At 53.6% G+C, this 20,030-nt stretch overlaps 1 protein-coding gene and 1 long non-coding RNA gene across 4 annotated transcripts in view, besides 4 other annotated features; both read right to left on the bottom strand.

Moving 5' to 3' along the window:
• Window positions 1-20,030, bottom strand: part of PDCD6-AHRR (PDCD6-AHRR readthrough (NMD candidate)) — a 166,640-nt gene that overhangs the window by 67,103 nt on the left and 79,507 nt on the right. For both annotated transcript variants that reach the window (NR_165159.2, NR_165163.2), the window contains exon 5: window positions 17,272-17,453. This is a non-coding gene — a long non-coding RNA (PDCD6-AHRR readthrough (NMD candidate)). The remainder of the gene's footprint in view (window positions 1-17,271; window positions 17,454-20,030) is intronic.
• The window catches only part of AHRR (aryl hydrocarbon receptor repressor), a 116,572-nt gene that overhangs the window by 67,103 nt on the left and 29,439 nt on the right, over window positions 1-20,030 (bottom strand). For both annotated transcript variants that reach the window (NM_001377236.1, NM_001377239.1), the window contains exon 3: window positions 17,272-17,453. In NM_001377236.1, the coding sequence (NP_001364165.1) occupies window positions 17,272-17,453 (182 nt within the window). The remainder of the gene's footprint in view (window positions 1-17,271; window positions 17,454-20,030) is intronic.
• Window positions 200-339: an enhancer, noted in NCBI's record as "active region_22279". NCBI's record gives its function as "activates an Ori minimal core promoter by ATAC-STARR-seq in GM12878 lymphoblastoid cells {active_cell/tissue: GM12878}" and the evidence as "EXISTENCE:reporter gene assay evidence [ECO:0000049][PMID:35858748]".
• Window positions 1,786-1,895: an enhancer, noted in NCBI's record as "active region_22278". NCBI's record gives its function as "activates an Ori minimal core promoter by ATAC-STARR-seq in GM12878 lymphoblastoid cells {active_cell/tissue: GM12878}" and the evidence as "EXISTENCE:reporter gene assay evidence [ECO:0000049][PMID:35858748]".
• Window positions 2,546-2,655: an enhancer, noted in NCBI's record as "active region_22277". NCBI's record gives its function as "activates an Ori minimal core promoter by ATAC-STARR-seq in GM12878 lymphoblastoid cells {active_cell/tissue: GM12878}" and the evidence as "EXISTENCE:reporter gene assay evidence [ECO:0000049][PMID:35858748]".
• Window positions 19,308-19,357: an enhancer, noted in NCBI's record as "active region_22276". NCBI's record gives its function as "activates an Ori minimal core promoter by ATAC-STARR-seq in GM12878 lymphoblastoid cells {active_cell/tissue: GM12878}" and the evidence as "EXISTENCE:reporter gene assay evidence [ECO:0000049][PMID:35858748]".

Here is a 20,030-nt window from a genome sequence, read left to right as displayed (position 1 = left end):
GGAGAGAACTAGACAGGAGGAGTCACCCCTTTTTCCTGACTCATGGCTTGAGCCAGATCAGCTCATCTCCCATTCTCCGGCCACAGGCGGGAATTTACCCCAGCGCCCCTGGCCCTCAGGCCTCTGGGCTTGGACTGAACTACACCTCGGCTCTCCTGGGTCTCCAGCTTGCAGCTGTCTGAGACACCTGCTCATAATAAGCCTCCCCATATCTGTCTCCGGTCGGTTCTGTTTTTCTGCAGAGCCCTAACTGACATGCCCTGTAAAGCCCGGCCCGAGGTCGGCCGAGAGCTCCACACCAGGCCCAGCCTCTGTGCTCTGGGTGCCTCCAAGGCAGGCCTCCTCTGGATCACTTCCTCCTCCAGCCACCCAGGGAGGTCGGACAAGCATGATGGGAACGTGCCCCCCTCCCCCCACCAACACCTGCACCTTCCCATGGGCTGCCCCCCTCCACCCCACACTGTCACCTGTGCCTTCCCGAGACCTGTCCCCAACCCCATCACCTGTGCCTTCCCATGGACTGTCCCCCCATCACCCACACCTTCCCATGGGCTGTCCACCCCACCCCTGTCACCTGCATCTTCCTGGGGGCTGTCCCCTATGGACCACCACCTGCCTGGGGCTGCACCCACTGTGAGACTCTCAGGGTCCTGGGGGTGGCGGATGACCTTGGTGAAAATTTCCCTTGAACCTGATTTCACTCACCCCTGCTTCCAGCTCAAGCTCCCTCCTGAGGGACCCTTACGACACCTCTCCCGTCCAGGAGTTGGATGGGATGCTCTGAGAAGCCTGGGACGCCCATCCAACCCTTCCCCGACGCCTGCTCGCCCCAGAATTGCCTGACCTGACTGTGGATCCAGGAAATGCTGCACAACCGTAACACGGGGAGTAAATGAGCAGAGCTTCCAGCGAGGGCCCAGGAGGTCGGGGCACCAGCGAGGGCCCGGGAGGACGGGGCTTCCAGCGAGGGCCCGGGAGGACGGGGCACCAGCGAGGGCCCGGGAGGACGGGGCTTCCAGCGAGGGCCCGGGAGGACGGGGCACCAGCGAGGGCCCGGGAGGACGGGGCTTCCAGCGAGGGCCCGGGAGGACGGGGCTTCCAGCGAGGGCCCGGGAGGATGGGGCACCAGCAAGAGCCCGGGAGGGCAGGGCAGTGCTCTCAGAGCCAAGACATTCCCAGGAGGGCACCTCTGACCCCTGCTCTCACACCCCAACCATTCCTACAAATGCCTTTGCAAGTTTTACGTCAAATGAGGGGACCAGAGCCTCAAGGCTTTCGAACATTCAAACTCTCCCTTCCTTCCCTTCTCAAGAACTGGATGAGAAACCGTTTTGCCTTTTGAAGATGAATTGTAATATGTACATTCCGGAAGAAAATGTCATTTAGTGATTCTTGATGGCCACAAATGGTATTTGCAAAGGAAACTTCTCACCACCCAGTTACTTTCTGAACAGGTGTGTTCTGCACCAGGATGCACAGAATTTGTCCCAGCTTCTGCACAGGAAAGGTTTAGAGGAAGCACTCGGGACAGACACTCTGTGCCAGAGCGTGGGACAAGCACAGCTCTCCCCAGTGGCCTAGGAGGCATCAGGAGCATTCAGGCAGGTGACAAAGACTCAGAGCGAAGCAAGTGACACAGAGGGAGCCCGGGCTCGTGCAGCGGGAGGCCTCAGCTCCTGAGTCGGGCTGTGCTGCATGCTCGCCTAGCTGTAGGTCTGTTCATCTGCAAGGAGCATGTGCCTCAGCCTTGCAAAGCAGGCAAGTCCACCCTGTGGGACAAAGCTGCCCCTTCAGGCTGTGGGCAGGAGGGGACCAGGACTGTGCCCGGAGAGCCCTCAGGTGTCCCAGAAAACAGCTGGTACCAGGTTAGGGGGTTAAGACAGAATGCCCAGGAAGAGGGAGGGTGTGAGGAAGTGTGAGAAGCGGATGACTGTGCCGTGCTGCTCTTGACACATGGGCGGGTGTATTAACAGAGTGTGAGGGAATGCATTCGAGGTGCTCACTGAGGGCAAAGAGAAGCAGCAAGTCAGAAGGGGGTCCCAGCAAGTGGGTGCTGGATGGGCGAGTGTGCTTCCAAAACCCTTAGTTACAGCTTGTGGGGCAGAGGGGTTTAAAAATGTCCTTCAAAGTCCCAAATTCCCCTAAGCTAGAAAAAGCATCAGGAGTATAAATAAACACACTCATTTCACAGACACGATATTTACAAAACGGGGGGCACCCCAAGACACATACTGCATCAAGTTGCTGAATTTCCTATGGCAAGAATTTCCCGATTTTTCAAAAAGCACCAGAGAGCTTCAGAGATTTCACACTTCCTCACAGTGCAAAATGAACCGCAAAGAAATGCACTTCCTCTGAGCCAGCGAAGACTGGGGTGGCTGCAGCTGGCAGTGCCCACGCGTTTCTCTGGTCAAGAGAATGCGCCTCTAACCACTTTCTGAGATCACAGAACCCGGGGGCCTCAGGGGGGCTCTGCGGTCACCAGAGTCACACGCTCGTCCTGCAGAGGAAACACACCCTGGCCTTGGAACCCCACGTTATCGTGGAAGATGCAACCAAAAATAGCTCTTTGGGGAAAAAAAGAATACTTGCACACATTGCAAATCCATATTCTCTTCATGATGTGAAACATCTGGTATAAGCAAACTATTTGGGCATTCTTGTTACATTTCAACGTATCAAAGAAAAGCACAGCAGGGACAAGCCAAGGGTTCAAGAAACATTTTGTAAAACAAAACCCAAAACACTGTGCTGGTGCTGTTTAACAACCAAATATTCAGTGAATCAGCGTGCGGTGCACAGGTGTACAGATGAGTGAGCGGTCAACACTGCAGGCCACTAACCCCACGCGGCCACAGCCAGGGAGCGCCCTGGCCCACACCCTCAGGCAGGATACAGTGCGCGGTGCACGCCCAGGGAGTCTTCCTGAGCAGCCCCACTGGCCTCTCCTACTGCGGAAGAGGGCACCGAGCCCTCACTGAGTCCTCTGCCCTCTACCCACAGGTATGGATGCTGCCTCGCTTGTCAACTTTCACATCAACGAGGAGTGCCAGCTCAGCTGTCAGAGTCTCCATTTGTTTATAAATAATGAATTCGTAGGTAAATTTATTATGTTATGTAACCATGAATTTACAACTAACACCCATATGGGGCTGGCCTGCCTGTGAATCACCATTGCCTTCATTGTCCTCACACATCACTACAGGCGGTCAGTGGCTATCAGTCCTGCAATATTCACCATCAACAGATGCAGACCGAACTGAGTACGTCTCAGGGCCTGGGTGTCCAATGCTCGGGGCCTCCTGAACGACATGGGCCTTCGTTCGCCCGTGTGGTCATCCACATCTTCGGCATCTGCCACTGCCAACCCCTGTCCTGGGCATACAACAGAGAAGGAGGGGGACAGAACCCAGCAACACACGAGTTAAGCACTAGGAGAGAACGAGCAGCAGAGGGGGTGGTGTCAGGGCAGAGGGGCAGAGGCTGTGATGTTAAAAGTGAGGCTGGGGAAGGCCTCCTGAGGGGTGAAGACAAGAGACCCAGCAGGAGGGCATGGCCTTCAAAAGCTACAGGTGTGCTGAGCCTCGGATGCCGCCCCCAGCAAGGCCCACGTGGCATCACTGCCTGGCGCTGCCATATTCAGGCCCCACCAGGCTGGCTCATCCGGTCCCCACGGCCACCGCTGCCCACTCCTCTGTGCCCTTGACCACGCACTGCAGCTCAGACCCGTGTCTGTGGGGCAGGGTGGTCATGATGGGCGGTGAGGAAGGTGTTGGTTATTCTTATATTTCTCTTTGCAAAAGGCCCAGCTGCCCAAAATGACAAGTGCTCCTAAAAGACGTGACTTGCCTCACAAACATACAAATGCACACGATGCTGTCCCACATCTGGCTACGCTGAGGGCCCACCACGTGCCCACGAACTCCCGTTCTCCCCCTGCCTCCCTGGGCACTTGCTCTTCCCCCCAGCTCCTCCAGGGTGGGAGCAGCTGGGGATCTGCGGCGACCCCCCAGGGACTCACTTTAGAGCTCATATAAACACCCTGCAACTTCTCCATTTTAGTTTTCCTTGTTCCTCCTGCTTATGCTTTGAGATGATATCAAACTTACAGAAAAGCTATAAGAATCATATAAAGCACCCAGATACCCCTTGTCCACAGATGCCACTGAGTTTCACCAGTGTCCCAATAACATCCTTTCAGCCAAGGTGGTGCTGGACTGCGGCAGCAGCCATCGCCACACTGCCTTAGTCCCTGCCACCTCTCCATCCCTTCCAGTAACTCCTTGGCTTTCATGGCCTGCTGGGTTTTTTGGAGATTACAGGTGAGTTATTTTGCAGACTGCCCTTCAATTTGGGTCTGTCTGGTGTTTCCTCGTGATTAGACCGAAGTTATGCACCTCCAGCCGAGTATCAGCAAAGCAATGCTGTGCTCCACCCACTCATCCTGTTGCGGGGTGCACAATGCCGGCTTATTCCACTATTGGCGGGTAAGATCGATCACTTAGGACAGTGAATGCTGGGCTTTTCGGCTTCATAATTAATAGATATTTTGTTCAAGACTACAAAAATCCTGTCTCATCCCATTTTCACCACCAATTTTAGCACCAATTGATATTTCTTGCCTGAATTATGACTGTAGTGGTTACCAAATTTGATTTGTAATTCACCTTTTCTTTCTATAGTCATCTCTCTTCTTATAGCCATTAATTAGCCTGTTGTGAGGAAAAACTTATTTACTTATTCATTCATTTATATAAATGTGACCCTATAAAATCATATTTTATTCACTGGGGTATAGCCCATTACTATCATTATTCATTTTAATGCTGAAATTGTCCCAGACTTGGCCAGCGGGAGCCCCTTCAAGACGGCTTCTGTGTCCTGTGACACGTCTTCATCCCTGGTGACCACTGCCTTGCTTTCTGGCATGAGGTAAGTACAAAGTACCTTGTACTTTGTCTGCTCCAGCTCTTGAAAGAGCCCCAAAAGCCCTAGTCCTTTTAATGGCAGGAAGCATTTAGAAACCAACATCTGAATGTTAGGTGTGATTGCTGCTGCTAGGGTGTCACTGTTCCGAGGCTCTCTCAGTGGACAGTGTGTGTGTGGGGCAGGGGGTGGGGGGGGAAGGTGAGTGTACACACATTTTACGTACATATTCATGTCTCTCTTTATATATTGAAAACCATGAGCTCACACCAATACCTCCAATTCCAATTCAACATCCCAGGATTCAATATAATGGAATTATTTTTTTCTTTACTATTTGGTAGAAATTGCTTTGAAGCTATCTGAGCCTAGATTTTCTCTGTGTGAAGATGTTAAACAAATCAATTTCTTTAATGGTCCTACGACATTCAGGTTTTCTATTTCTTCTTGAGTCAGTTTTAATAAGTTATATTTTCTAGGAATTTTTTCATTTATGTTTTCAAACTTCAAATTTATTGGCATTAATTTGTTCATAATAGCTCCTCTTTATATTCCTAATACTGCTTATTCTTTTCTCCTTGATCAGTTTCACCAGATCTTTGTAAAGTTTATCATTTTAAAAGAACTCTGTTGTATGTTTCTTTTCTATTTCATCAATATCTTCTATTATTTTCTTTGACTCTCTTATTTTACTGTTCTTTATCAGAACTACTTAATTAAATGCTTAGCTCATTAATATTTAGCCTTCTTTTATACATAAACACTTAAGATTATTTATTTCTAAGTGTTTCTTTGGCTACATCCCACACATTTTAAATATTTCTAAATTACATCTTCTTTTCTTCTTTGACCTATGCGTTATATACAAGTGTGTTTATTTATTTCCAACTATACGGGTTTTCAAGTTATCTTGTTATTATCGATTTCTAGTTTATTTGCATTGAGGTCCCACCTCATTATTCTTCAATATTTTATCTTTTGAAATTTACTGAGACTTGCTTTATTGGCCAGTAAGTTTTCCATATATTTACCAGTTCCATGCGGGCTTTGAAAATACGTGAATTCTGTAGTTTGGGGGTATACTGCTTTATGTATGTCCACTAAATTAACCTTTTTTTTTTCTTTGCATTGTTCAAATGTTCTATAACCTTTACTGGCTTTTATTTACTTCTTCTATAAAATACTGAGTTACAGTATTTAAAATATTTCTCTCTGATGATGAATTTATATATTCTTCCTTATAGTTCTGTCAATATTTGCTTTACAGATTTTGAAATTATGTTATGGAAAGAATAAAATTCAAAATTATATTATCTGCTTGATGAAATGAATTGTTTAATCATTACATAGTGATTCTCTCTATCTCCAGTGATGCTTTTTACCCCAAAATCAATTTTTTTACATTAATATAGATTCATCATATTTCCTTCAGTTATATTTCCCCAGTATACCCTTTCCCATCCTTTTACTTTCATCCTTTCTGTACCCTTAGAGTGTAGATGTGTTTTCTGTAAACAGCATATAGTAATCCACTTTAATAATCTTTATCTTTTAGTTGTTATGTTTATTCCATTTATGTTTATTGTAGTTACTGATATATTTGGACTTTTGTTCCACCTCTTTTGTGTTTCTTTTTTCCTTTCCCTTTCTAGTCTTTTCCTTTTGATTGATTATATTTTCTCATTCTTTTTTCTTTCCATTAGTTTGAAATTTCAACCCCATTTCTACGGTTGATGATTATCCTGAAAATTTTATTACAAATTAGATAACCATCCTCCAAAGTTAACACAAGAATCTTAGAACTTTTTAACTCATCACCCTCTTCAAATTTGTATCATATTATGACTATATACTTATTTCTCTTTTTAAAATTCTTATATCACCATTATTATTTTACACAAGGTGTTTGATTTGATTTGATTTACCCATATAGTCACCACCTTCTTGTTTTTCATTCCCCCTTGCATCTCAAATCTTCCACCTGGAATTCTCTTCCTTCTGCGTGAAGTATATGTTTAATATTCTCCTTTAATAAAGTTATCTCTGGGTTCTCAGCTTCACTTAGTTTTTGGTCTCTGATTATTCCTTAATTTCCTACCAGCCCACAAATGTATTTTTAAAGGCTTAAAATATTTTTTCTTGAAGTTTTGGCTGTTATCAGTAGAAGGATGCCTCAGTTACATATTGAAAATGGAAGAGACTGCATTAAGTAGCCAATATTCTCCCACTAGACTCTAAATACCAAGAAGCAAAGACCATAGCAGCTCTTTTTTTACTTGCATTAGAACAGGATGTTAATATGGAGCTTTTCCAGTCTGAATTTTAGCTGAGGCCCCAAGACAAGAAGTGCCAATTGTTCCCATGTGAAATTCTGGGTGATCTAGGTAGAGGAGGTGTTGAAGATGAGAGAAGCTCAAGTTTGACAGGAGGGCTTCCTTGGGAGAGGGGGGCAGTGCTCTCAGTCTGTCCCCACCCAACCTGTACCATGAGAGGGATGGGCAGCTTTCTCCTTACTTCATTCCAAGAGGGGTTTCACGAGGCCTGCAAGTGCCTACTGTGTGCCTTCTGAGGCTGGTGGTGGGCAGAGACCTGGTATCCCTCTTACACTCAAGAAATCTAAAGGGCAAAAGTTGACTCCTGGAGCTCCCAGTAGGCAACTAGGCTGCATGTGGAAATAACCCTAACCCAGTGGATCAAAGGTGCACATTTCCTGTGGACCAGGTGGGGTCATAGTGCCTGAACACTGGCCTGGGATGTCTTAAATCCTGCCCAGAAGGGTTCCTGGAGATGTGAGGGCAGACCTTGGCAAGAGGCTAGAGGTACCACGGCCACCTAGGGCTAAGGAAGTGAGTGTAAGGGACCAGCTGGAGAGGATACACCTCCTGAGTTGGCCAGTTGTGGCAGAGACACCCCAGGGTAGTGTGGTCACTTAGGAGACCATGAGAATGCCCCCAGAGCCCTCTGGATTTCCTGCCAGCCTCATGTGCCAGCTCTCTGCCATGCCAGCCATACAGAACCTCTCCTGTCCTTACCTCTTATCCCTCTTGTTCCTCCCACTGGAGGGTTGGAAGCCATAGCTACCAGCTGGGCAGAACCCAGGGGGCAGCAGCCAGCCTGACACCCAGCCTCCCACCTGCCACAGCACCAGGTGAGGTTGGGAAGAGGTTCACATGCGGAAGACATGTAGAGTTTTAACTGTTTTGCTGGACCTATACTAATCAACAAGCCCAGCCTGTGTGGGGCCACATTAGTGGAAGACACTGAATTACCTAGAAGGGACCAGAAAAGTCCTGGGATTATCCCAGTTTCTTCCAGGCACAGAAGGAGAATCAGTCCACAAAGGAGGTTTGCTGGGGCAGACATGAGAAAAATCAAAGTTGTTTTCTCTCAACCCTTGGTCAGCTTCCTTCAGGAATAAACTCAAGCACCAGGAATGAGTGAGTAAATGAGTGAATGAGCCCCTGCTCTTCTTGGCCAGATTCATCTTTTGGAAGCAGTTAAAAGAGGTAGGAAAAGTAAAATCAGCTCCTAAAATAATCAAGAGTGATCTTGCCATACAACTACAACAGTACTTGGGAAACCATTCCTGAGGACCTCAGGGTCTGAGACAGGAGTGGCCTTACAGCATCAGGGCAGGACCAACTCTCATCCTATCCTGGCTCTCAAGTACAGAGAAATATCCTAAATTATTTTAAACTTGTGAGTCTTTGCAGGAAATGCTCCCCAAGGGGAAGCCATCTTCCAGAAGGCACCAGTGACAGAGAGGAAGGGGGTGAGGGAAAGGGTTGGAGCACAGCCTGGAGAGCTGGAAGGCACTCGACCCACATGTGCCCATGCCCACCGCAGGATGAGAAAAATCGAGTCCCAGACCTGCGGCCCTGCCATGGGGGCTTGCCTTAGCCTCTAGGGCTGCTGTAACAAAATGATTTAAACAACAGAAAGTTATTTTCTTGCAGTTCTGGAAGCTGGAAGCCCATGATCAAGGTGCCACCAAATTCAGTTTCTGGTGAGGGCTCTCTTCTTGGCTTGTGGACAGCCACCTTCTCACTGCATCTTCACATGAATTTCCTGCTGTGCTTGTGGACAGAGTGAGCCCTCCGATGTCTCTCCTTATACGTGTGCTAATCCCATCAGATCAGAGCTCTGCCCTTATGACCGCATTTAACCTTAAACTTAACTTCCTTAGAGGCCCCTTCTCCAAATACAGCCAAACTAGGGGCTAGGGCTTCAACATATGAGTTTTAGGGGACACAAACATTCAGCTTATAACATTCAATCCTTGCCTCCAAAATTTATGTCCTCACATGCAAAATACATTAACTCCATCCCAACAGCCCCAAACGTCTTAACCCATTCCAGCATCAACTCTAAAGTCTAAGCCAAAGTTTCATTTAACTACCATCTAAATCAGAAATGGGTAAGACTCAAGGTACAATTTCTCCTAAAGCAGACCTGCTCTCCAGCCAAGAACCTGTGAGACCAGACAAGCCACGTCCTTCTAAAATACAACAGTGAACAGGCATGGGATGGAACTCCCCATTGCAAAAGGCAGGACCCAGTAGGAAGAGAGGGGAGACGGGTCCCAAGCAAGTCACACGTCTAGCAAGGCAAAGCGCCTGAGACCTGGAGGCCTCAGGACAATCCTCTTTGACTCCATGCTCTGCCCAGAGGCCCGGCCTCTTTCCCAGCTCTGCAGTGGCCCCACTCTCCGAAATCCAGGAAGAGACAGCCCTGCCCTGTGCCTGTGGTGGAAGTGGCACCTGGTTACCTCTGAATCACCCCCAGGCACACTCTCCCCTTTCTGGAAAGATGAAACATGCCAGCCACTGGCAAGCACTACCTCCCGTCCTGTTCTCCTTAGGCCAAGCTGATAGTGTCTCTGCGGGCGTGGTGCCATCCCACTCCTGGCCTCTGCTGAGGAGGCTTCCCGGCTGGGCTCCTGGCTCACACCCAGTCTCCCTATCCAATGGCTGTTTCACCACGTGCAAGTCCGTCCAGAACACTTTCTCTGTTTCTTGAGATGGAGTCTTGCTCTGTCGCCCAGGCTGGAGTGCAGTGGCAAGATCTCGGCTCACTGCAACCTCGGGTTCAAGCAATTCTCTGCCTCAGCCTCCCAAGTAGCTGTGATTACAGACGCCCACCACCATGCCTGGCTAATTTTTATATTTTTAGTAGAGATGGGGTTTCACCATCTTGGCCAGGCTGGTCTTGAACTCCTGACCTTGTGATCACCCGCCTCAGCCTCCCAAAGTGCTGGTATTACAGGTGTGCGCCACCGTACCCGGCCCACCTTCTCATTTTTTGCAATGTGGATAGGCTGAGAATTTTCCAAACCTTCAAGTTCTGGTTCCTTTTCTTTTGGCAATTCCTTCCATGTATCTCTCTCCTCTGACGTTTCACTATAAGCAGTAAGGAGAAGCAAGGGTTTCAACACTTTGCTTAGAAATCTCACCAGCAAAACACCCCATTTCATCACTTGCAAGTTCCACTTTCCACAAAATGCTAGAATTCAGTCCAGCCAAGTCCTTGCCACTTTATAACAAGAATCACTTTCCTCGCGTTCCACGGGCACATTCCTCACCAGAATCTGCCTTAATGCTCACATTTCTATCAGTGTTCTGTTCATGGGGTACGTGTGTTCTCTACGACCACAGCTCTCCCTACAATGCTCTCCTCTCTGAGCCCTCACCAACAACACCTTTAACACCCATAGTTCTACCAACAACTGCTTCACAGCCATCAGGGCTCTTTCTAGCACACACCTCAAAACTCGTCCAGCCTCCACCCACCAGCCAGCTGCAAGTCACTTCCACATTCTTAGGTATGTGGCATGTAGTGCAGGGCACCCCACTTCTCTGCCTGGGCTGCTTATAATAAACACCCCCGTCCGGGGGCTTAAACAACAGGAATGGGCTTTCCCACATTTCTGGAGCTAAAAGCCCGTCATCAGGGTGCAGCTGATTTGGCTCTGGTGAGGGCTCTCTTTCCAGCCTGCAGACAGCTGCCTTCCCCCTGTGTTCTCTCACAGCCTTTCTTTGGGGGGTGTTCAGCACAGAGAGGGACAGAGGGTTCTTTTGGGTCTCCTTTTTAAGGACACTGGTCCTATCAGTTCAGGCCACCCCCCACCCCCACTTATGAAGTTGTTTAACCTTAATTTCTTCCTAAGCGGACCCACCTACAAATACGGCCACACTGGGAATTAGGGTTTCACTATATGAATAGGTGAAGGGATGAGACAAACATCCAGTCCATAAAAAGATCATCAAGGAAAAGGTAAATCTTCAGTGAAAGCTGAAAATCAGCATGATTTACCTTAATAAAGTATAACTTCAGGCCTGGGTTTACACAATCACTCGTAATCTCAAGGAGCATGGAACTTTTGACCTGCTAGCAAGTGTGGGATTCCAGAGTTCAAGAACCCAGGACACCTCGTGGCGCTGTGGGGCCTCTGTTCTTGCCCACCTAGGGTGGGGTGAAGCGGATGTGCCCGTTCAGCCCGGGTGGGCTTCAGAGCCAGGACTGACCCCAGGAGGGGCTCCAGGATGGACACAGGTGTGTGTTCAGGCCCCACAGTGGAGCACGGTGGATGCAAAGGAACAAGAGGACTCCGATGCTGCTGCGGGTGATGAGTGAAGGGAGCAGGGAGCAGCATCATCCTGACAGGAAAATCCCCAGGCTTTCAGAGTGAGGCTGTGCCACCTTCTCTCCTCCCTACTTTGTTTTTGGTACTAATCTACTCCACACTTCTCTACACAGCAACAAGAACACACACCTCTGTGCCCCGTCAGCACTCCGGCCCTACGCATAGAGGTGGACACAGCCACATGCCAGGCCTGGGTGGACTCCGTGACTGACGGCCTCCACTCGCGGGCGCTCTTCCTCAGTCGCTGACTGCCCGGGTGGACTCCGTGACTGAGGGCCTCCCCTCGCGGGCGCTCTTCCCCAGTCGCTGACTGCCCGGGTGGACTCCGTGACTGAGGGCCTCCACTCGCGGGCGCTCTTCCTCAGTCGCTGACTGCCCGGGTGGACTCCGTGACTGAGGGCCTCCACTCCCGGGCGCTCTTCCTCAGTCGCTGACTGCCCGGGTGGACTCCGTGACTGAGGGCCTCCACTCGCGGGCGCTCTTCCTCAGTCGCTGACTGCCCGGGTGGACTCCGTGACTGAGGGCCTCCACTCGCGGGCGCTCTTCCTCAGTCGCTGACTGCCCGGGTGGACTCCGTGACTGACGGCCTCCACTCGCGGGCGCTCTTCCTCAGTCGCTGACTGCCCGGGTGGACTCCGTGACTGAGGGCCTCCACTCGCGGGCGCTCTTCCCCAGTCGCTGACTGCCCGGGTGGACTCCGTGACTGAGGGCCTCCACTCCCGGGCGCTCTTCCCCAGTCGCTGACTGCCCGGGTGGACTCCGTGACTGAGGGCCTCCACTCCCGGGCGCTCTTCCCCAGTCGCTGACTGCCCGGGTGGACTCCGTGACTGAGGGCCTCCACTCGCGGGCGCTCTTCCTCAGTCGCTGACTGCCCGGGTGGACTCCGTGACTGAGGGCCTCCACTCGCGGGCGCTCTTCCTCAGTCGCTGACTGCCCGGGTGGACTCCGTGACTGAGGGCCTCCACTTGCGGGCGCTCTTCCTCAGTCGCTGACTGCCCGGGTGGACTCCGTGACTGACGGCCTCCACTCCCGGGCGCTCTTCCTCAGTCGCTGACTGCCCGGGTGGACTCCGTGACTGAGGGCCTCCACTCGCGGGCGCTCTTCCTCAGTCGCTGACTGCCCGGGTGGACTCCGTGACTGAGGGCCTCCACTCCCGGGCGCTCTTCCCCAGTCGCTGACTGCCCGGGTGGACTCCGTGTCTGAGGGCCTCCACTCGCGGGCGCTCTTCCCCAGTCGCTGACTGCCCGGGTGGACTCCGTGACTGAGGGCCTCCACTCCCGGGCGCTCTTCCTCAGTCGCTGACTGCCCGGGTGGACTCCGTGACTGAGGGCCTCCACTCGCGGGCGCTCTTCCTCAGTCGCTGACTGCCCGGGTGGACTCCGTGACTGACGGCCTCCACTCGCGGGCGCTCTTCCTCAGTCGCTGACTGCCCGGGTGGACTCCGTGACTGAGGGCCTCCACTCGCGGGCGCTCTTCCCCAGTCGCTGACTGCCCGGGTGGACTCCGTGACTGAGGGCCTCCACTCGCGGGCGCTCTTCCTCAGTCGCTGACTGCCCGGGTGGACTCCGTGACTGAGGGCCTCCACTCCCGGGCGCTCTTCCCCAGTCGCTGACTGCCCGGGTGGACTCCGTGTCTGAGGGCCTCCACTCGCGGGCGCTCTTCCCCAGTCGCTGACTGCCCGGGTGGACTCCGTGACTGAGGGCCTCCACTCCCGGGCGCTCTTCCTCAGTCGCTGACTGCCCGGGTGGACTCCGTGACTGAGGGCCTCCACTCGCGGGCGCTCTTCCTCAGTCGCTGACTGCCCGGGTGGACTCCGTGACTGACGGCCTCCACTCGCGGGCGCTCTTCCTCAGTCGCTGACTGCCCGGGTGGACTCCGTGACTGAGGGCCTCCACTCGCGGGCGCTCTTCCCCAGTCGCTGACTGCCCGGGTGGACTCCGTGACTGAGGGCCTCCACTCGCGGGCGCTCTTCCTCAGTCGCTGACTGCCCGGGTGGACTCCGTGACTGAGGGCCTCCACTCCCGGGCGCTCTTCCCCAGTCGCTGACTGCCCGGGTGGACTCCGTGTCTGAGGGCCTCCACTCGCGGGCGCTCTTCCCCAGTCGCTGACTGCCCGGGTGGACTCCGTGACTGAGGGCCTCCACTCCCGGGCGCTCTTCCTCAGTCGCTGACTGCCCGGGTGGACTCCGTGACTGAGGGCCTCCACTCGCGGGCGCTCTTCCTCAGTCGCTGACTGCCCGGGTGGACTCCGTGACTGAGGGCCTCCACTCGCGGGCGCTCTTCCTCAGTCGCTGACTGCCCGGGTGGACTCCGTGACTGAGGGCCTCCACTCGCGGGCGCTCTTCCTCAGTCGCTGACTGCCCGGGTGGACTCCGTGACTGAGGGCCTCCACTCCCGGGCGCTCTTCCTCAGTCGCTGACTGCCCGGGTGGACTCCGTGACTGAGGGCCTCCACTCGCGGGCGCTCTTCCTCAGTCGCTGACTGCCCGGGTGGACTCCGTGACTGAGGGCCTCCACTCCCGGGCGCTCTTCCTCAGTCGCTGACTGCCCGGGTGGACTCCGTGACTGAGGGCCTCCACTCGCGGGCGCTCTTCCTCAGTCGCTGACTGCCCGGGTGGACTCCGTGACTGAGGGCCTCCACTCCCGGGCGCTCTTCCTCAGTCGCTGACTGCCCGGGTGGACTCCGTGACTGAGGGCCTCCACTCGCGGGCGCTCTTCCTCAGTCGCTGACTGCCCGGGTGGACTCCGTGACTGAGGGCCTCCACTCCCGGGCGCTCTTCCTCAGTCGCTGACTGCCCGGGTGGACTCCGTGACTGAGGGCCTCCACTCCCGGGCGCTCTTCCTCAGTCGCTGACTGCCCGGGTGGACTCCGTGACTGAGGGCCTCCACTCCCGGGCGCTCTTCCTCAGTCGCTGACTGCCCGGGTGGACTCCGTGACTGAGGGCCTCCACTCGCGGGCGCTCTTCCTCAGTCGCTGACTGCCCGGGTGGACTCCGTGTCTGAGGGCCTCCACTCGCGGGCGCTCTTCCTCAGTCGCTGACTGCCCGGGTGGACTCCGTGACTGAGGGCCTCCACTCCCGGGCGCTCTTCCTCAGTCGCTGACTGCCCGGGTGGACTCCGTGACTGAGGGCCTCCACTCGCGGGCGCTCTTCCTCAGTCGCTGACTGCAGGGGTCCTGGCAAACACAGGCACCCCCAAGGAGTTCTGGGAGGGTGGCCTGACCCACAACTGGGCTTCAGCAACAGAGCCGGGGCTTCTGGACCCTTCCTGGTCAGTGTTAGGGTCCCACGTCCCAGGCTGTGACCAGGGTTCAGCCTAGAAGGGGCCCAGCTCCCCTCCATGCCCCGCAGCAGGAGGGCAGAGAGCTCTCTCAAGGCAGCAGCAGACTGTCTCCTCCTCACCACCTCCTTCCCTCTTATTTTGTGCCTGACTTCCCCTGGTGTGAATAGTAAAATCACCAAGAGTGGAAAATCCCGACCTTAACAGTCACATTAACATTAAACATCACAAGCAAATGCTCAGGCCATCATCACCCTGGTTCATGTCCTTCCCAAAGGCAACTTTTTATGGCAGCCGTAATGAAATTAGCTTACCCATCTCTAAGTCAAGAGGCATAGTTTAAGATCTAACTTTTATAGCTTGACTTGTTTCTAATTATACGTGGAAATGACTTCAGAAAAGTTTTTAGAATTTCCTCTAAAATGTACAGCCTGAAGGGGATCACAAAATTCACAATCCTTGGTAGAAAAATCAGGAAGTTTATTCCTGAAAGCTGCAGCACTCTCGTAAGCCGGTGGCCCCTGAGAGTCACTGCAGCTGCGGCAGAGGTGGGCACCTCCCAGCAGGGCAGCAGGAGGCACGCAGGGTGCCCCTGCACAGGATGGCCATCCAGTGCCATTGCCCCGGCTTGGGGCAGGCAGCAGGATGGGAAGCTCACTCGCTGGCAGTTTAAGAAGAGCCAGGTGTCCAAACTTGCTGGAAACACCAGAATCGAAGACTTTCTGAGGCCGTCAAGCCCTGGCCTGGCTGGACACAGTGGGACCTGTGCGGAGAGGAAATGACCTGGCCTCTCCTCCAACCTCCCAGCGAGAGGGTGAGGCTGTGCGGTGTCGGTGGGAGGAAGCCGATGTGACAGGTCTTCAGCTCGGGACAAAGCCTCCCTGCCGGCTGCCCCAGCCCTTCCTGCGCTGTCCAGACACGGGGACTGCCCTCTGCCATTGGCGCTGCTGAGCCGCACTGCGCCATCCATGAAAGGCGTGTCCCAGAAGGCAAACCTGGGAGCCTGCCCTCAATTCCATGCTGGTGCCCATGCCCAGGTGCATGCAGGGTGGTGCCCACTCCACCACACCAGACCACACCAACTGCACCACATCTTAACCCTCCTGGAAAAGCTGCCATCCTGCACATACGGCAAACCCCAGGTCTCTCAGGTAAACTGAGTCCAACACCACCCAGCAGCCCTGGGCACCAGGAGGCCCAGGCTGGGAACAGAGATAAATATAAAATTAATAGTTTTCAACATAAAATTAGAAAACCTGGAATGTAAAACTAAAACTTGCTGTGACCTCACCACTCAGATAAGCTCTGTTAACATTTTGTGGGATTTGATTTCCATGGAGGCTGCGGCCAGCCGGGACCCGGGGAAGACCCTCAGTGTGGGGCCGGCACTGGCAGGACACGGCGCGTGATGCTGGGCATCACCGTGACTTTCCTTCCCGCAGCCCATGGGCCACGTCCTTCCCTGGGGGTGTCTGAGGGTGCGCAGAGGTCTGCAGGGGCCCAGGCACTGACAGCCTCTTGCACCCTGAGACAGACGCCCCCCGCCCAGGGGAGGCCCCCACCCTGACTCAAACTCAGGAGTGCAGGCACCGGGCACAACTGCCACATGCTGCTGGTCACGGGGTTTTTAATTCTAAAAGTGCTGCAATCAAACCACGTGCAGGCACGTCACCCAACACAGAAGCTGAAAGCAGCTTCTCTCCCACCCTCCCGCAACAGCAAAGGCCCCACGGTCTACACCTGCGAGTTCTCTGGAGCGATCCCAGCTCCCAGGGCAGCAATAACCTGAAATCTAAGGAAACGCCATGCTTCCAAGGACAGACAGGGCACAGGCCTGGGGAGGCCCCACCTGAGATGCAGGAGCCCCAGAAGCCCCTCCCCACGAGAGGGCAGCCCCAGCAGCTGTGTCCGGGCACGGCCTGGCGTGGGCAGGGGGAGGCGCCCGGCACCCCAGGGCAGCCCCCGGGTCCCACCTAGTCAGCTGCCTCAGCCTCCTGACCATGCCCAGCCCTGCTCATCCACAAAGCCGATCCCTCATTCCCTGGAGCCGGGGTCTGTGGGGAAGCCCCAGTGAGGCCCAGCACGGGGAGGAACAGCCCCAGCCCCTCCCTCAGCAGCTGCGCAGCTTCAGCAAACCCAGGACCCCAGGCGCAAACTGGCCCATCCCAGCAAACTGAGGTGAGGCCCCCACCCTGAGAGTGTCGAGGACAGCTAGGGCCAGACCTGGCCCCAGGGAAAATCCACAGCCCAGCCAGCTCCCATCCAGGGGCCAAGTCTCCAGGTTCTGGGGGCAGCGTGGGGGAAGAAGGGAGTGCACATGGTGCAACCCACCAGACACACTTCACCTGGCCACAAGGCCCCAGATGGACTCAGGGGAGACACAGCCTGACTCAAGTGAACAGGTGGGAGCAGGTGAGAGTCCTACCTTGGAAGAAGCTCTTCACCCGGAGGTAACTGACACTGAGGCGCAGGACAGAAAGCTTGTCCAGCTTGGAGATGATGTCAGGCGGGAACGGCAGCAGGCTGGCCAGGTGGTCCAACTCGGCGTTGAGGCGGTCCCGGTGTCGCTTGGAGGGGTTGGACTTCTCTGCCCCCACGGCGGGCCTCCTGTGGGGAGATGGTCTGGGTCAGGTGGGCTTCTCCACCAGAAGCCACAGGCCCCCTGGGGCGGAAACCGTCCTCTGCAGTGACCTTACTAGGAGCATCTACGCTGCTGCCAGGACAAAAGACGGGAAGAGGACTAAAGCTCACCCATGCCTCAAGACATAGACACTAAAAACCACAGCGCACAACAGCCAAGCACAGCTCAGTATCTGGAGGGGATGTAGAGAGAAGAAGCAAACCAGCCGGAGAACCGCAGCTCAGAGCACGGAGACAGGGCACGGCCCCCAGCTGCGGGACAGGCACATTTCTCCACCTCTCCACTACGGATCCCTGAGGAGGGAGGAGGACGCCTGGCCCCAGGCTGGCGGGGCAGGAGTGAGCATAGAAAATGCCACATTCATTCAGCATCCTTAGGGGACTCCTCGGTGTCTAAACAAAACCTAACACATTCCAGGAAACATGAAAAGGTCCTCCTGGCATCAGCCGGGCCGTGCCCAAGGCCGCTCCGAGCTTGGTTTCTCCTGTACATGCTGGGGCTGAGGGGAGAGTACCCAGGGCAAATGAGACCAGGTGCCTGCCACTCTGGGGCCCCACAAAGGGGCAGTGAGGGCCATCACCCAATTCTCCTAATAAGCCAGAGCAGGCCTGCTCTACCCACAAAAAGGGGCCACCTGTGGGGCTTCCACACCACAGAGCCCAGAGAGGGAGGGAGCTGACCCCTCTCACCCAACCTACCTTAAAATGACAGGAGCTTGGCGTGACCCTCTCACCTCAGAGTGACCATCCCCTACAGCTGACCCATTTAACCTCAGAGTGACCGTCCCCTACGGCTGACCCATTTAACCTCACAGTGACCATCCCCTACAGCTGACCCATTTAACCTCACAGTGACCGTCCCCTACGGCTGACCCATTTAACCTCAGAGTGACCATCCCCTACGGCTGACCCATTTAACCTCACAGTGACCATCCCCTACAGCTGACCCATTTAACCTCACAGTGACCATCCCCTACAGCTGACCCATTTAACCTCACAGTGACCATCCCCTACAGCTGACCCATTTAACCTCACAGTGACCGTCCCCTACAGCTGACCTATTTAACCTCAGAGTGACCATCCCCTACAGCTGACCCATTTAAACTCAGAGTGACCATCCCCTACAGCTGACCTATTTAACCTCAGAGTGACCATCCCCTACAGCTGACCCATTTAACCTCACAGTGACCATCCCCTACAGCTGACCTATTTAACCTCAGAGTGACCATCCCCTACAGCTGACCCATTTAACCTCACAGTGACCATCCCCTACAGCTGACCCATTTAACCTCAGAGTGACCATCCCCTACAGCTGACCCATTTAACCTCACAGTGACCGTCCCCTACAGCTGACCCATTTAACCTCAGAGTGACCATCCCCTACAGCTGACCCATTTAACCTCACAGTGACCGTCCCCTACAGCTGACCTATTTAACCTCAGAGTGACCATCCCCTACGGCTAACCCATTTAACCTCACAGTGACTGTCCCCTACAGCTGACCTATTTAACCATCACTGCACTGAAGCCACTTCAACTGCCATCTCGTTCTAGATATCATTTCCACATGCAATCATGCGAAAGAAAAGATGGCAGCCAGTATGGAGTCCACTGGGAATGCATGGGGAGACTGAGCAGGGGCCAGTTACTGGCAGGACCACAGGAACGAGGCCACCTGACTTTCCACACTAACCCTTCCTGGGACCTTGGCACATACAGGAGTGAGCCTGCTGTTTCCAGGGGTTTGGGTCTCTTTTGTCAAGAAGTTCCTTATTTTTCTAAGGTGTTTGCATTTATGAGTGAGCTGACACGTGCAAGCTGTAAGTCTGAAACAATCTGTTCTGTCAGGAACTCTGCGGCACAAACTCCATTTCTCACTGTCTAACAACCTAGGCCGTAAACCAGTCACAGAGCAGCCTGACAGCGCCAAACCCAGAGCAGTTGTTTTCAGTTGAGATATAATCCACATAACATGAAACTAACTGTTTAAAAGTGAACAGTTCAATGTCACTTAGGGCCGTCGCTAAGCCGTGCAAACCTCACCTCTATTTAGTTCCAACCTTGAAGGAAACCCTTACCCATCAGCCGTCTCTCTAGATTCCCCTTCTGTTAGCCCTGGCAGCCCTCAGTCAGCTCTCAGCATGGACCCTCCTACTAAAGGCATGTGGTAGAAATGGAATCAAGACGTGGCCTTCTGTGGCCGGCTTCTTTCTCACAGCCTCGTGTTTTCAAGGTTCATCCACACTGCTGCAGCTCTCTGTGCTTCCTTCCTTTTCAGGGCTGAGTAATATTCCCGTGTATGGAGAGGCCACATTGCTTTATCCGTCTATCTGCTGATGGACGTTTGCGTTGTCTCCTCTGTTTGGCTGCCGTGAGTATCGGTGCAGTGAACACTCATCTAGAAGATTCTGTTTGAATATATACTTTCAATTCTCTTGAGCATGTACTTAGCAGTAGAGTTGCTGGGTCATATGTTAATTCTGTTTCATTTTCTGGGGCACCACCAAACTGCTTTCCATGGTGGCTGCGCTATTTTACTTTCCCA

Source organism: Homo sapiens, chromosome 5 (assembly GCF_000001405.40).
Source record: "Homo sapiens chromosome 5, GRCh38.p14 Primary Assembly".
NCBI classification, from domain to species: Eukaryota; Metazoa; Chordata; class Mammalia; order Primates; family Hominidae; genus Homo; species Homo sapiens.
Note: the sequence above shows the minus strand (reverse complement) of the source record. Positions and strands in the feature narration are given on the sequence as shown.